The 16,356-nt window shown below is 52.1% G+C and overlaps 1 protein-coding gene across 3 annotated transcripts in view, besides 1 other annotated feature; it reads left to right on the forward strand.

The window, feature by feature from the left end:
* Positions 1 to 16,356, forward strand: part of MYH14 (myosin heavy chain 14) — a 106,919-nt gene that overhangs the window by 12,358 nt on the left and 78,205 nt on the right. For 2 of the 3 annotated variants that reach the window (NM_001145809.2, NM_001077186.2), the window contains exons 3-10: positions 1,636 to 1,792; positions 7,104 to 7,131; positions 7,268 to 7,370; positions 8,175 to 8,198; positions 9,606 to 9,698; positions 10,924 to 10,987; positions 14,546 to 14,644; positions 15,951 to 16,091. In NM_001145809.2, the coding sequence (NP_001139281.1) occupies positions 1,636 to 1,792; positions 7,104 to 7,131; positions 7,268 to 7,370; positions 8,175 to 8,198; positions 9,606 to 9,698; positions 10,924 to 10,987; positions 14,546 to 14,644; positions 15,951 to 16,091 (709 nt within the window). The remainder of the gene's footprint in view (positions 1 to 1,635; positions 1,793 to 7,103; positions 7,132 to 7,267; positions 7,371 to 8,174; positions 8,199 to 9,605; positions 9,699 to 10,923; positions 10,988 to 14,545; positions 14,645 to 15,950; positions 16,092 to 16,356) is intronic. The other variant, NM_024729.4, reaches the window with a different exon arrangement.
* Positions 14,413 to 14,707: an enhancer, noted in NCBI's record as "tiled region #11309; K562 Activating non-DNase unmatched - State 20:ReprD". NCBI's record gives its function as "activates a minimal TATA promoter and a strong SV40 promoter by Sharpr-MPRA in K562 cells {active_cell/tissue: K562}" and the evidence as "EXISTENCE:reporter gene assay evidence [ECO:0000049][PMID:27701403]".

Here is a 16,356-nt window from a genome sequence, read left to right on the forward strand (position 1 = left end):
AGCTAACTAGCTAAGCCACTAAGCAGGTAATTCTCTGGCTAGTTTAGCTAGCTAACTTTAGATAGCTTGGCTAGTTAGCTCTCTGGCTGGTTTAGCTAAGTGGCTAACTAGCTCTCTAGCTATGTTTAACTGCTTCTGTGAGTGTTGAGCCCCTCTTGCCTACATGATACCCTTGTGAGCTGGATTTGTTCTTAAACTGTTACAGAGTCCTGAGGCCGGGTGTGAAGGTTCACATCTCTAATCCCAGCACTTTGGGAGGCCGAGGTGGGCAGATCACTTGAGGTCAGGAGTTCAAGACCAGCCTGGGCAACATAGAGAGACCCTGTGTCTACAAAAAAATACACCAGGTGCGGTGACTCAAGCCTGTAATCCCGGCACTTTGGGAGGCTGTAGTGGGAGAATTAGTTGAGCCCAGGAATTCAAGAGCAGCCTGGGCAACGTAGTGAGACCCCGTCTCTACTAAAAATAAGAAAAATTAGCCTAGTGGATTGACACACACTTGTGATCCCAGCTACTCTCGAGGCTGAGGTGAGAGGATTGCTTTAGTCTAGGAGGTGGAGGCTGCAGTGAGCCATGATTGTACCACTGCACTCCAGCCTGGGTGACAGAGTAAGACCCTGTCTCAAAGAGGGGAAAAAAAAAAAAGACTAGGCATGGTCATGTCAGCAGGACTGTTATGTGTCTATTATCAGTAGAAACCGCAGGTATGTTCCTGTTGCATTTCGGTTATTGCAGATACCACAGGCACCCTTCCAGAGATAGTCCATGCATATTCAAATGAATATATAAAAATATATAAAAAGATTCCTCTTCCATCCTTTCTTTTTTTTTTTTTTTTTTTTTTTTGAGACAGAGTCTCGCTCTGTTGCCCAGGCTGGAGTGCAGTGGCGCAATCTTGGCTTACTGCAACCTCCGCCTGCCAGGTTCAAACAATTCTTCTGCCTCAGCCTCCCAAGTAGCTGGGACTACAGGCATGTGTCACCACACCTGGCTAATTTTTTTTGTACTTTTAGTAGAGATGGGGTTTCACCATGCTGGCCAGGCTGGGCTCGAACTCCTGACCTCGTGATCCACCCGTCTCGGCTTCCCAAAGTGCTGGGATTGCAGGCGTGAGCCACCGTGCCCGGCCCTCCTCTTCCATCCTTTCTAATGCAAATGGTAGCTCCTCACGCAGTCCTCAACTCACCTCCTTTTACTTGATATTGATTTGAAGACAGTCCCATGTCTATACATAAGAGCTTTGTAGGAATGCATCGTATGAAGATGCATTCAGGTCGTTTCTAGTCTTTTGCTGCTACAAAGAGTGCCTCAACCGGTCACCTCGCACATGGTCATTTCCTGTGTGAGTCCAGGCAGCCACAGGCTGTGACCCAAGTCTGGCTGGCTGCAAAGGCCTTGTTCTCTCTCAGGACAAATCCTCACCCAGACAGTGCCTTTGTGCAATTTGGAAAGATTCTTTGCTACCATCAGCCTGAAAATGCTCATAACAAACATTCAAATCTACATTGTTATGGTGTAGACATACCATGTGCAGATAGATGCCCTTGTGCAGTGCACGGCCTGCTCAGCAGCCCCATGACGCCTTTCAGGCCGTGGGCAGCCATCTGAGACCCTCTCCCCTCTCACCCACTGCAGACGTACTCCGGCCTTTTCTGTGTGGTCATCAACCCGTACAAGCAGCTTCCCATCTACACAGAAGCCATTGTGGAGATGTACCGGGGCAAGAAGCGCCACGAGGTGCCACCCCACGTGTACGCAGTGACCGAGGGGGCCTATCGGAGCATGCTGCAGGGTGAGTGCTGGGTGGGGCTGTAGGCCAGCGAGGCGGCTCTTCAACGGGGGCCTGACCTGGGGCTGCCGGAAGCCAGAGTCCAGGTCAAATGACAGCTTGTAGACTTGACTCTGTAGGGCTTCTTAGGGGGCTGGAGGGAGCACAAGTAGAGGCCTGAGTGGGTGAGGTGCTAGGTCCTAGAGTCTTTTTACCTGTCTCCATGTTCATTGTCTCTTTTATTATTGTTATTATTATTATTAGTTTGAGACGGAGTCTTGCTCCGTCACCCAGGCTGGAGTGCAGTGGCATGATCTTGGCTCACTGCAACCTCTGCCTCCTGGGCTCAAGCGATTCTCGTGCCTCAGCCTCCCAAGTGGCTGGGACTACAGGCGTGCACCACTGCGCCTGGCTAAGAGATGGGGTTTCACCATGTTGGCCAGGCTGGTCTCAAACTCCTGACCTCAAGTGATCTGCCCACCTCGGCCTTCCAAAGTTCTGGGATTACAGGCATAAGCCACCATGCCTGGCCTCTTTTTAAATTTTTAAATAAATTAATTTATTTTTGGCCAGGCGCGGTGGCTCACGCCTGTAATCCCAGCACTTTGGGAGGCTGAGGCAGGCGGATCACGAGGTCAGGAGATCGAGACCATTCTGGCTAACACGGTGAAACCCCGTCTCTACTAAAAATACAAAAAGAATTAGCCGGGCCTGGTGGCGGGCACCTGTAGTCCCAGCTACTCGGGAGGCTGAGGCAGGAGAATGGCGTGAACCCGGGAGGCGGAGCTTGCAGTGAGCCGAGATCGCGCCACTGCACTCCAGCCTGGGAGACACAGGGAGACTCTGTCTCAAAAAAAAAATTAATTTATTTTTTATTTCAATAGTTTTTGGGAAACAGGCGGGGTTTGGTTGCATGGAAAAGTTCTTTGGTGGCGATTTCTGAGATTTTGGTGCACTTGCCATCGGAGCAGTGTACACTGCACCCAATGTGTAATCTATCCCTCACCACCCCCCACTACCCTTCACCCTGAGTCCCCAAAGTCAGTTGTGTCATTCTTATGTTTTTGCATCCTCAGAACTTAGCTCCCACTTACAAGTGAGAACATACGATGTTTGATTTTCCATTCCCGAGTTACCTCACTTACAATAATGGTCTCCAATTTCATCCAGGTTGCTGTGAATGCCATTATTTCATTCCCTTTTATGGCTGAGTAGTATTCCATGGTGTATGTGTGTCTATATATCCCATGGTGTGTATATATATATTTTTTATATATACACACCATGGGATATATACTCTCTCTCTCTATATATATATATATGAGTATTCCATGGTGTGTATACACTCACACACACACCATGGGATATATATGTGTGTGTGTGTATACACACCATGGAATACATATATATATGTATCACAGTTTATCTACTCGTTGGTTGATGGGCATTTAGTCTGGTTCCATATTTTTGCAATTGTGAATTGTGCTGCTATAAACATGTGTGTGCAAGTGTCTTTTTCATATAATAGCTTCTTTTCCTCTGGGTGGATACCCCAGAGTAGGGTTGCTGGATCAAATGATATATCTACTTTTGGTTCTTTAAGTAATCTCCATACTGTTTTCCATAATTAAAAAATCAAAAAATAACATGTTGGTGTGGATACGGTGAAATGGGAACACTTTTACACTGCTGGTGGAATGTAAACTAGTACAACCACTATTGAAAACAGTATGGAGATTCTTTAAAGATCTTTGTTCCCTCTTTCTCCGAACAATATTGGTTGGGTGTGGGGCTTTTACGAACATTTCCCTTGAGACAGTAATTCCCAGAGTGTTCATTCATTTATTCAACATTTATCGTTGAATTGTAGATCTGATCTCCATTGTCACGGGGTAAATGTAGCCCCTTAGACAGATGGCAGGTCAAGGCAGTTGTGTACAGCTGAGCAGGTTGTACACTGAACAAGGGTATCCATCCAAGGGGCTGCCATTCATACCATGACAACATAGATCAGTCCTGGCAGAATTACATGATTAACATCTATTATAGATATAATGCCCTTATTATATATTTGCTATATATCATCTATTTTCATAGATATTTAGTATTTTTTGTTTATATCTATTAAACATTTAAAAATTATATCTATTTACATCATATAACATATAATAGGCCAGGGGCGGTGGCTCACACCTGTAATCCCAGCACTTTGGGAGGCCAAGGCAGGAGAATTGCTTGAGTTCAGGAGCTCAAGACCAGCCTGGGCAACATAACAAGACCCTGTCTCTACAAAAAAATTTAACAAGTTTTTGTTAAAAAAGGAAAAACCCCATGTAATAGTACACAACATTCAGACCCTTCGATCATGGCTTCGAAACCCATCGGTGCCGCTCGCCATTTCCGTCCCGCACCCCAGCCTCACCCACCTTCCTGTCTGTCAAACATCCCTAAGTCAGTCCTACCTCAGGGCCTGAATATGAATATATTATACTTATTGAATATGCATATTAAATATGAGCAAATTATTAAATTTATATATTTGATTAAATAGTATAATATTGTGAATATATTATGCTTATTTAATATGCATATTCAATAAGTATTTTATTTTATTATACTTTATTTTTATTATACTTCATTTTTATTTTATTATACTTTATATTTATTTTATTATTATATAAATGTAATGTTGATTTAATAAATTATACCTATTAATATGCATATTCAATAAGTATAATGTGTTAAATTAAATAGTATAACATATTAAATTAAATGGTATATTAAATAGCATAATATTGTAAACATATTATGCTTATTTTTTTTTTTGAGACAGAGTCTCACTCTGTCACCCAAGCTGGAGTGCAGTGGCATGACCTTAGCTCGCTGCAACCTCCTCCCGGGTTCAAGCCATTGTCCTGCCTCAGCCTCCCGAGTGGCTGGGACTACAGGCACATGCCACCATGCACAGCTAATTTTTGTATTTTTAGTAGAGACCAGGTTTCACCATGTTGGCCGGGCTGGTCTCGAACTCCTGACCTCAGGTGATCCGCCTACCTCAGCCTCCCAAAGTGCTGGGATTACAGGCATGAGCCACCATGCCCGGCCTAATATGCTTATTTAATATGCATATTAAATGGGAGTATCAAATGGGAATACTGAAGTCTCCAGGTAGAATAGTGGATTCATCTATTTCTCCTGGCAGGTCTATCAGTTTCTGCTGGATTAATTCATTTAACCTCGTAGCAAATCTATGAAATAGGTTATCTCCTTGTCCCTGATTTCTGGGTGGGGAAACTGAGGCACAGAGCAAAACAGTCATGGTCACACTGGTGGGTGTATGCTGAGGTGGGATTCGAACCCAGGGCCCCTGACCACCGCCTCCCTGTATGTCACACTGTGTGTTATATTTCCTCCTGTGCCGTGCACTGTGCTGAGTGCATTTTGAGCATTCTGAGTTCTGACTACAGCCCTGGGAGATGGCAGCTGTTTTGAGCCCCATTTTTCAGATGGGAAAACAGAGGCACAAAGCAACTCAGAGACTGGCCCAAGGTCACGCAGCAAGTCAGAGAGGCAGCCGGGCGGTGAACCTGTGTGCATATAGTCCCCCATACCAGGCTGCCAAGTCTGAGGTCCTACTGGACGCAGCTTACTCCCTGGCTTGAAGACACCCAGAGGATGCCTGTCCTGCTTAAAAAAACATTCAGACCCTTTGATCATGGCTTTATTTATTTAAATTTATTTATTTAGAGACGGAGCCTCACTCTTGTCACCCAGGCTGGAGTGCAATGGCACGATCTTGGCTCACTGCAACCTCCGCCTCCCGGGTTCAAGTGATTCTTCTGCCTCAGCCTCCTGAGTAGCTGGGGATTATAGGTGGCGCCACCATGCCTGGCTAATTTTTGTATTTTTAGTAGAGATGGGGTTTCACCATGTTGCCCAGGCTGGTCTTGAACTCCTGACTTCGGGTGATCTGCTGGCCTCGGCCTCCCAAAGTGCTGGGATTACAGGTATGAGCCACTGTGTCCAGCCTAATCGCTGCTTTAAAACCCATCCCACCACTCGCCATCTCTGCCCTATCCCCCAACCTCACTGGCCTTTCTGTCTCTCAAACATTTCTAACTCAGAGCCTTTCCCCTGGCTGTGCCCTCTGCCTGAAATGCCACCTCCACTGAGAAGCCTTCCCTGCTCCTTCCCCCAAGTCAATTCTTATTACCTAACACCAGGGTTTTGGAATCCTGGCTCTACTGACATTTGGGGCTGGATGATTCTTTGTCGTGGGAGGCTGTCCTGGTCATTGTAGGATGTTTAGTAGCACCCCGGCCTCTACCCACTCAGTGCCCATGGAGCTCTCCTCTCTCAGGGTAATAACCAAAAATGTCTCCCAGACATTGCCAGGTGTCTCCTGGCGGGAATGGAGGACATAATTACCCCCGTTTAAGAACCACTGCTTCGGCCGGGTGCAGTGGCTCATACCTGTAATCCCAGCACTTTGGGAGGCCGAGGCCGGTGGATCACGAGGTCAGGAGATCGAGACCATCCTGGCTAACACAGTGAAACCCTGTCTCTACTTAAAATACAAAAAATTAGCTGGGCGTGGTGGTGGGCGCCTCTAGTCCCAGGTACTTGGGAGGTTGAGGCAGGAGAATGGCGTGAACCCGAGAGGCAGAGCTTGCAGTGAGCCGAGATTGCGCCACTGTACTCCAGCCTGGGCGACAGAGCAAGACTCCGTCTCAAAAAAAAAAAAAAAAAAAAAGAACCACTGCTTTATTCTAGTACTGATTCAATTTTCTTCCCAGTGCTGATCGGTATTTGATTGTAGGTTTCTGTCCCCTACATCTTAAGTGGAAGCTCTGTAGGGGCACACACCCTGCCAGTTCCCCACTCCCCTCCATGCCTGGCGCTCAGTAGGTGGTCAGCATGTGATTGTGGAATGGCTGTGTTAGGCCCAGGGCAGGCGCTGGGGTAGACATCTTATATTACAGGACCTCGCTTCTGTCTTTGAATCTCACATGCCCAGCATGAGGCAGCACACAGTAGGGTCTCACGTTGAGGTCGTTGAATGAATCATATTCTCTTCAGTTGAGGGAGGCTGTCTCCATTTTACGGGTGAGGAAACCAAGGCTCAGAGAGGGACAGCTGCTTTCCCAGGGTCACACAGCGAGCAGGGGGCTGAGCTGGGTGGGGAATTAGAATCCAGGATTGTTACACATCAAGACCCAAGCTTTTCCTTACTCCCTGGGAATAATTTTTAAAATGCAGCGGCCAGTGTAAGGGACCAGAGGGCCCTGCTAGAGACTCTCTCAGATGACATATTCCCCCACTCTGTCCCCTACAGATCGTGAGGACCAGTCCATTCTCTGCACGTGAGTAATCTGGAAGGACTTCCTGGAGGAGGAGAGGTCTGGGTGGGGCGTGGCTGTGTTTGGAATGGGCAGGGCAGGTGGGGAGCTTGCCTGAGGTCATTGCCAACCCCTTTGCTTCCCCTTGTCATCCCCACAGTGGAGAGTCTGGAGCTGGGAAGACGGAAAACACCAAGAAGGTCATCCAGTACCTCGCCCACGTGGCGTCGTCTCCAAAGGGCAGGAAGGAGCCGGGTGTCCCCGTAAGCAACCCCGCCTTGGGTCACCCCCGGGCCCTGCCACAGCACTGCCCCTTCCATCTTGGGCTTTCCCCACAATTGTCTCTTCCCCTCATGGAGGTCCTTCTCCTAGACGCCTATGCCACCTGAGCACCTACTGTGTGCCTGGGGTGGGGCTGGAAGCAGAGTCAGGGGGACACAGAGGTGTGAGGGTCAGTCTTGGTCTCACTGGCTCTCGGAATGGCTCCTAGTACTTAGTAGGTGCTTTCTTTTCTGAGCACCTACTGTGTCAAGCCTGATTTTAGGTGATCATGATGCCTGGGTTTGTCGTCTAAGTGAATGTTATATGGTGCCCTCCACTGTTCCAAGCCCTGTTCTCACACTGCCTTACTTACCCCTCGGGTGGGGTGGGTGCTGTTTTCCTGCACTGAAGACGGAGAGCCCAGGCATGGGAGGGGTGAGTCAGTTGTTGGTCATGCACCGAGGAAGAGGTACAGTGAGGCCGGGCACAGTGGCTCATGCCTGTAATCCCAGCAGTTTGGGAGGCCGAGGCAGGAGGATCGCTTGAGCCCAGGAATTCAAGACCAGCCTGGGTAATATAGTGGGACCCCATCGCTACAAAAAACATTTTTGAATAAAGGAGGTAGAGTGGGATTCAAACCCAGGAGTGTGGTCCTCCAGGCCACCCTACTCCACATGCCCGGTTTCCCCAGTCCCCCTTCCCCCACCCCCCATGCCACCACCTGAGATCACTGGTTCACCTGTGTGTCTGTCCACGTTCCATGTGCTGTGTCCTGGTCCGTGTCTCGTGTCCCGTGACTTCCTCAGGCCTCCGTCAGCACCGTGTCTTATGTGAGTAGCAGGGGATCACCTCGAGTCTTGCTGCCCCTAATGCCTTCCCGGCCACCCAATGCATGATCTTCTTGGTAGACAGGGCCCAAGGCAGCAGTGGTCCCACCTGCCAGGGACCCCTCTGCCCCACCACTGCTATTCATGGCGGCCCTGCTGTGTGAGTGTGTGCAGATGGGCCACAGACACCAACATGAAACAATCCAGAGAACAAAACTGCCACTTACTGCTGATCTACTAAATGTGTCCAGCCAGGGCCCACAGATGCTGCGTGCACACAACCAGAGTGAACAGTGTAGCAAGGGAAATACACGCATGTCCCATGTTCTTCTGTGTGCCAAGTCATGTGCCCTTCACTTTGTGTATCTTTTCATTTGACAAAGCATCCACCTAGCTAGATCATTTCATCTTAACACAAGCAAGACATGGACTGAGAGAAGACATAAACAGGCTGCCATTTATGAAGCACCTACTGTGTGCCAGGCTCTGACACCAAGGGGGCTGGAGGGAAGTTTGGAGTAGAGTTCCTGCCAAGGAGTAGCCTGGTGGGGCTAGGAACCCACTATTTTTTGAAGGCCTATTATATGCCAGACTGCTTGAAGCACTTTACATAGGTGGTACAGATTTTTGCCTTACTTAAAAATTCTAGGCTGGGTTTGGTGGCTCAGGTCTATAATCCCAGCACTTTGGAAGGCTGAAGTGGGAGGATTGCTTGAGGCCAGGAGTTCAAGACCAGGCTAGGCAAAAGAGTGAGACCCCATCTCTACTAAAAATTTTAAAAAGTAGCTGGGCATGGTGGTGCTTGCCTGTAGTCCCAGCTACTCAGGAGGCTGAGGTGAGAGGATTCCTTGAGCCCAGGAATTTGAGGCTGCTATGAGTTATGACCATGCCACTGCACTCCAGAATTTCTACAAGCAACACATGAGTACATATTCATTGTAACAACAACAAATCAGATGAAATGAAATTCCTGTTTCCTCCCCTCAGTCCCCTTCCTTGGAGTGCCTTACACTGTTGACAGTTTGGTGTGCATCCTTGCAGACCTTTCTCCATATGTTTACAAACATGTATATATCTGTAGATTTAAGAGTCCTGTTTTGTGGCGTTTCTTCCTTAATTCATTTCTTATTAATGGGATAACATTGTAGACATTGTTCTGCAACTTGTTTTTTTGTTTGGCTTGGTTTGGTTTGGTTTCCACTTAACAACATGTCTTGGAGATGCTTCCCTCTTCCCCTCACAATAGACAGATGGGCAAGACCCGGATATGGGAAGTGGGTACACGCCCAGACACACAAAGGCCCCTCACACACAGATACTCAGTCAGCTGGAGACACAGCCCGAGCTGGGCTGGCCTGGCCTCCTGCCCCATTCTCACTGACCTCATGCATCATCTCCTGTGCCCGGCAGGGTGAGCTGGAGCGGCAGCTGCTTCAGGCCAACCCCATCCTAGAGGCCTTTGGCAATGCCAAGACAGTGAAGAATGACAACTCCTCCCGATTCGTGAGTGCCAGGGGTGGGCAGTGCTGGCTGTGTCAGGGATACAGGAGCTGGGAACCTCAGGGTGGGCTTCAGGGGGAAAGACACGTGGATCTGTTGAGGGAGGAGGGGCTGGGGGTCTGGACTCTTGAGTCTGAGGGAGGAGGGGCTGGGGGCCTGGACCCCTGGGTCTGAGGGAGGAGGGGCTGGGGGCCTGGACTCTTGAGTCTGAGGGAGGAGGGGCTGGGGGCCTGAACCTCTGGGTCTGAGGGAGGAGGGGCTGGGGCCCTGGATTCTTGAGTCTGAGGGAGGAGGGGCTGGGGACCTGGACTCTTGAGTCTGGGGGAGGAGGGGCTGGGGGCCTGGACCCCTGGGTCTGAGGGAGGAGGGGCTGGGAGCCCCAGACCCCTGGGTCTGAGGGAGGAGGGGCTGGGGGCCTGGACTTTTGAGTCTGAGGGAGGAGGGGCTGGGGACCTGGACCCCTGGGTCTGAGGGAGGAGGGGCTGGGGGCCTGGACTTTTGAGTCTGAGGGAGGAGGGGCTGGGGGCCTGAACCTCTGGGTCTGAGGGAGGAGGGGCTGGGGCCCTGGATTCTTGAGTCTGAGGGAGGAGGGGCTGGGGACCTGGACTCTTGAGTCTGGGGGAGGAGGGGCTGGGGGCCTGGACCCCTGGGTCTGAGGGAGGAGGGGCTGGGAGCCCCAGACCCCTGGGTCTGAGGGAGGAGGGGCTGGGGGCCTGGACTTTTGAGTCTGAGGGAGGAGGGGCTGGGGGCCTGGACCCCTGGGTCTGAGGGAGGAGGGGCTGGGGGCCTGGACTTTTGAGTCTGAGGGAGGAGGGGCTGGTGGCCTGGACCCCTGGGTCTGAAGGAGGAGGGGCTGGGGGCCCAGATCCCTGGGTCTGAAGGAGGAGGGGCTGGGGCCCTGGACTCTTGAGTCTGAGGGATGAGGGAGTGCAGGCCCGGATCCCTGGGTCTGAGGGAGGAGGGGCTGGAGGCTGCGTGCCTAGTTCCAAGGGAGGAGCAGCTGGGGACCAGGGGGCTGGGGAAAGAAGTCCAAGGGGCCCGGACCTTGAATTCCCAAGGAGCCCCCCGATGGGGACTCACCACAGGATGGGGTTCAGGTAGAGGGAGCAAGGAAGTGGGGGGGCAGCCGCAGCTCTGGGAGCAGTGGGTGTGGGGTTTGGGCTGTTGTTCACGTGTGAGTGGGGAAGGGGACCCTCTGCTGAAGCCCACCCACTTTGGTCTCTCCCAGGGCAAATTCATCCGCATCAACTTTGATGTTGCCGGGTACATCGTGGGCGCCAACATTGAGACCTGTATCCTCTCACAGCCCATGGGGGTGGCAGCCAAGGGGGGCAGCCTTTCAGACAGCACTGAGTATGGAAAGCACCTCCCACTGCAGGGACCCCTTACCTGCTACTCAGATGGGACCTGATGCTCAGGCGGCATCTGCATGGGGAGGGGAGGGTGGGACTTCTGGTGTGTATGAGGCCAGCACAGCCTCGCTATGGGGTGGTGGGTTGGGGTCCACCCAGTTCAGCCATAAGGGGAGTCCCAGCACTTAGCCTGCAGTGGCACTCATGGTGACCCATGACAGTGAAATGACATAGAGCAGTATAAGCAAAGGGAAAAGGCACGTGGGGCCAAGTCCCCAGGGACCAGGCACAAGCTCCTAGAACCCTCTCCAGCAGAGGCACACAGGACACCAGGTGCGACAACACTTATGAAATGCTGTCCCGGGGAAGCACAGAGAGACTCACTACCAGGGTTTTCACTGGTGGCTGGCCACATCCCCGCCTGCACCCCCCGTCCCCCGCCCTTAGTATGAACCAAAATTCCACACTCCCGGGAGGAAAGCAGGTGATCAGTGTAAACCACAGTGTTTGCACAAACCCTTTAGGTCTAGCGAACCCCTCATCCTGTTAGAGGATGCTGGAACCCTCCCGAAATCCAGGTGCCCAGACGCTAGCCAGGGGCCCACCTGGCCAGCAGGCCTTTCCAGGGGAGCATCTCAGGACGGCTGTTTTCTGCTCAGATGGCATATGGGCGTTTAAAGGAAATTAAACAATAAAACACAGGCACTCTGGGAGTGCAGAAATTAAGAGAATGGGCCAAGAAATCGTACCAACCTGGGTTCAAATCCCAGTTCTGCCACTTTGAGACTCTGGGGACTTGGGTACGTGACTTGGCCTTTCCCTGCCTCAGTTTCTCCCTCTGTAGAAGGAGAAGGAACATAGAACCTACCCAAGAGGGGTTTGGAGGATTTTGGAGTTAAATGCTTGGCCACAGCACCTGCTACATAGCAGGCACTCAAGAACAAGCTATTATTAGCAATTAATGATTAAATTAGTGGCCAGGCACGGTGGCTCATGCTTGTAATCCCAGCACTTTGGGAGGCCAAGGCCGGTGGATCATTTGAAGCCAGGAGTTTGAGACCAGCCAGGCCAACATGGTGAAACCCTGTCTCTAATAAAAATACAAAAAAATTAGCCGGGCGTGGTGGCGCATGCTTGTAGTCCCAGCTACTATGGAGGCTGAGGCAGGAGAATTGCTTGAACCTGGGAGGCAGAGGTTGCAGTGAGCCGAGATCACGCCACTGCACTCCAACCTGGGTGACAGAGCGAGACTCTGTGTCAAAAAAAAAAAAAAGGTTAAATTAGCAATATCTGTATCAATGCTAATATTATTGACTAATATTGATTGATAATTACTAATCAATAACATTAACAACTGCTAATAAGCCACATCCCCATCCCAGAGGCATCTGATAAGCTCACGCTCTTCCATAATCAGTGGGGAGGGGTTTCTCCTAAGTCTGCTCAGGGCATGAAGCAGCCAGCCGGCCCGTTGGTTCTGCTGCCTTGTGGGAGATGCTTCCTGGGCTGTCACCACCCCAAGTCCCCAGCAGCACCGCAGCCCCTGCTCCTGCCGTTTTCTGCTCATGGCTGCTCCTTCCTCCAGGTCCTCTTGCCCTTGGCTCCCACCTCTCCATGGTACCTGCATATCCAGGTTCTTGGAGCTCATGGCTCTTCCTGCCAAACTGTCCTGGCACTTGTGTGTCTCTGCTTATATTCATATTTGCCTTCTCTGTCCGCTTCCACCTGCTCACTTTCTCCTGTCCACGCTCCCCATGCAGTGTGGCTGCCCCTCCTGGGCACAGCTGTGGTCCCGGCTGTCTCAGGCACCAGTGGATTGATGCTCATGAATCAGGTCCCGCCCCCAGGCCAATCGTATGAGTCTTGGGATGGCCTGCCGGGTAAGGAGCACCACCCTGTGTGGCTGACCCCTCGGCACTAGCATCAGTGCCATCGTGACCAGCTTTTCTGGAGTGCTGACTGTGTGCCCACCGCCACCTCGAGAGTCCCCATGATATCTCAGTTCCTCCTCTCTGCAACCCTGCGAGGTGGCTGCTGCTATCACCCCCGCTTCACAGAGGAGGAAACCGAAGCTCAGGGCTGTTGTCCCCCAGGGTTCGACAGCCTGCGTGTGCTCCCTGCCTTCCAGCTTTCCTTGTGGGAGCCCCTCCACCTGTTTCTCCCCATCTAACCAAGCAGGTTACACCCCAGGGCTTCTGGGAAATGGACCTCAGGTTTGCAGCTGATCTTGGTCCAAATATGTATTTGGTGGTGCATGAGTGTGGTGGTGCATGAGGGACACAGAGGGGTTAAGCAAAGTGTATGGTGTTTTGGTGTTTTGTTTTACTCTAAGATGTTTTGGCTGGGCGCAGTGGCTCATGCCTGTAATCCCAGCACTTTGGGAGGCTAAGGCTGGAGGATCACTTGAGCTCAGGAATTCGAGGCCAGTCAGACCTCCTCTCTACTAAAATAAAGAAAATTTAAAAATTAGCCAGGTGTGGTTGTGCACACCTGTAGTCCCAGCTACTTGAGGCTGAGGTGGGAGTATTGCTTGAGCTGGGGAGGCGGAGGTTACAGTGAGCTGTGATTGTGCTGCTGTGCTCCAGCTGAGGCAACAGAGCCAGACCCTGTCTAAAAAAACAAAACAAAACAAAACAAAACAAACAAAAGTCTTGCCACCTTTTAATATGTAAGTTTGACACGTGACTTTCTTGGGAGGGAGAGCATGCAGAGTGACAGTCTAGTTGAAGGTGGGAGCTGATTATCTGCATGGGGAAGCTGAGGCTGGGAGAGTACTAATGGCAGGAGACATTCTCACCTGCGGGTAACTTTGAACCAGGCATTGTTCAGGGTGCTTCATGCACAATAAGTCATTTATCTTCACAGCAACTCATCCAGGGTCGATGAGGTTTCTTTGTTTTGTTTTTGTGACAGAGTCTCACTCTGTCGCCCAGGCTGGAGTGCAGTGGCGCAATCTCGGCTCACTGCAACCTCCTCCTCCCGGGTTCAAGCGATTCTCCTGCCTCAGCCTCCCAAGCAGCTGAGATTACAGGCACCCGCGATCACACCTATAATTTTTGTATTTTTAGTAGAGATGGGATTTTGCCATGTTGGCCAGGCTGGTCTTGAACTCCTGACCTCAGGTGATCCGCCTGCCTTGGCTTTCCAAAGTGTTGGGATTACAGGCGTGAGCCACTGCGCCCACAGGGTTGATGAGTTTTTTAGAGACAGAGCAAGACCCTGTCTCTAAAAAGAGAGAGAGAGAGAGAGGAAGGTCTCCTAAAGGTGTTATTTTCAAGCCCCTTGAACAGGTAGATGAGGAAACTGAGGCACAAGTGCTTAAGTGACATGAGCACGGCTGCTCTTCCAGTTAGTGGCAAAGTCACCAGCCTGGGCTGTGAGCGACTCCACTACACCACAGGAGAGAAGGGGGCAGCGTGGGCAGGGCAGGCTCCTGTAGTGGCCTGGCAGCGTCGGGGCCGTCCCTTCCCCTCTAGCACCTTGACTCGCTGTGTCCAGACCTGCTGGAGAAGTCGCGGGCCATCCGCCAGGCCAAGGACGAGTGCAGCTTCCACATCTTCTACCAGCTGCTGGGGGGCGCTGGAGAGCAGCTCAAAGGTCAGTGCCGCCCCGTCCTACCCTGCTCACCCGGGAGAGGGTGGGCACCATGTCTCTCGGGGGCCCCTTCTGGGGAGGAAGCAAGAGTGGGGGGCTCTAATATCCGTCAAACACCGACTTCGCATGAGGCTCCCGCAGCCCCTGCTCTCGCTGCGTAGTGGCGTCTGTCGCACGGTGGGTTCTGCTGCGCTCTGGTTCCAGCTCTGTCCCGGGTCTGGCTCGCGCCCGCTGTCACGGCCACGCAGCCCCCGCCGCCTGGTGGCTCCTGCTCACGCTCGCTTCCGAAGCTCCGTGGCTTCTCTCTCGCGCGGCTTCTCCTCACTCCGGCGGGTGACTCCGGCTTTGCTGAGGCTCCTCCTGGTTCCTGACGACGCTGGTTTGTGTTGCTTCTCGGCTCGTGCTGCCTCGTGCTCCCCTCTGCTCTGGCTCCTAGGCCACGGCTCTTGCCGGAGTCCTCCTGTCCCTGCTCCCTGTTCCTCCTGCCCTCTGGCTGCCCAAGCGCCCTTGGCTCCTGTTTGCAGTGGCTGGCACTGCCCTGTAGCTCCCTCTGCTCCTGGCTCCTTCCTCCTGGTGGCTCAGGCCGCTTCCTGGCTCCTGCGGCCACATAGCCCCTCCTCATCCAGGTTCCCACTCACTGTGGCCTTTGAGACCGCATGTCCTTGGGCGCCGGCCCCTGCCATCCCATGGCCTGTGCTGACTTGGGCCTGCAGCCCCACTGCTTCTGCCAACCAGTGGCCCCTGCCTGCTCTGGGCACTTCTAGAGACTCAAAAGTCCCTGCGGAGGGAGCAAAGAGGAGTGGTATACACTGCGTGGGGACTCATGCCTGCAATCCCAGTACTTTGGGAGGGTGAGGCAGGAGGATTGCTTGAGCCCAGGAATTTGAGTCCAGCCTGGGCAGCATAGTGAGACCCCCATCTCTGTAAATAATAACAATAATAATAAGCTGGGCATGGTGGCACACAGCTGTAGTCCCAGCTATGTGGGAGGCTGAGGTGGGAGGATTGCTTGAGCCCAGGAGTTTGAGGCTGTGGTGAGCCATGATTGCATCACTGCACTGCAGCCTGGGCAACAGAGCAAGACCCTGTCTCTAAAAAATTAAAAAAAAAAAATAGAGACAGAGTGGTGGTCTCATAGGTGCTAAACGCCCACTCCACCCCCGACCCTTCCCACCACACTTGTGAGTAAAGGCCCCCACCCACTTGACAGTGAGGATATGGCATGTCCTGGGATTGCCACCGATGAATCCAGGATGAGTCTGACTGCACAGCCCACCTTTGACCTTGACCCCACTCATTGTCCCTGCAGCCGACCTCCTCCTCGAGCCCTGCTCCCACTACCGGTTCCTGACCAACGGGCCGTCATCCTCTCCCGGCCAGGAGCGGGAACTCTTCCAGGAGACGCTGGAGTCGCTGCGGGTCCTGGGATTCAGCCACGAGGAAATCATCTGTGAGTGAGCCCCGTGGAGGCCAGGGGTAGGGGGGAACCCCACGGAGAGCTGGGGACCTGGCCATTCATGCCCCGATCTCTTTGAGCAAGTGTTTATTGAGCACCTACTGGGTGCAGGCACCGGGGCCAGAGCAGGGAATGAGGCTCACAGACATCTCTGCCTTGAGGAAGCTGACAAAATGAGAGCCCCCAACCAAGTCAATAAGGAATCACATGGCCTGTTAGTAGACTATGAGTGCAGCTGGGCGCAGTGGCTCATGCCTGT

This window comes from Homo sapiens, chromosome 19 (assembly GCF_000001405.40).
Source record: "Homo sapiens chromosome 19, GRCh38.p14 Primary Assembly".
In the NCBI taxonomy this organism is placed as follows: Eukaryota; Metazoa; Chordata; class Mammalia; order Primates; family Hominidae; genus Homo; species Homo sapiens.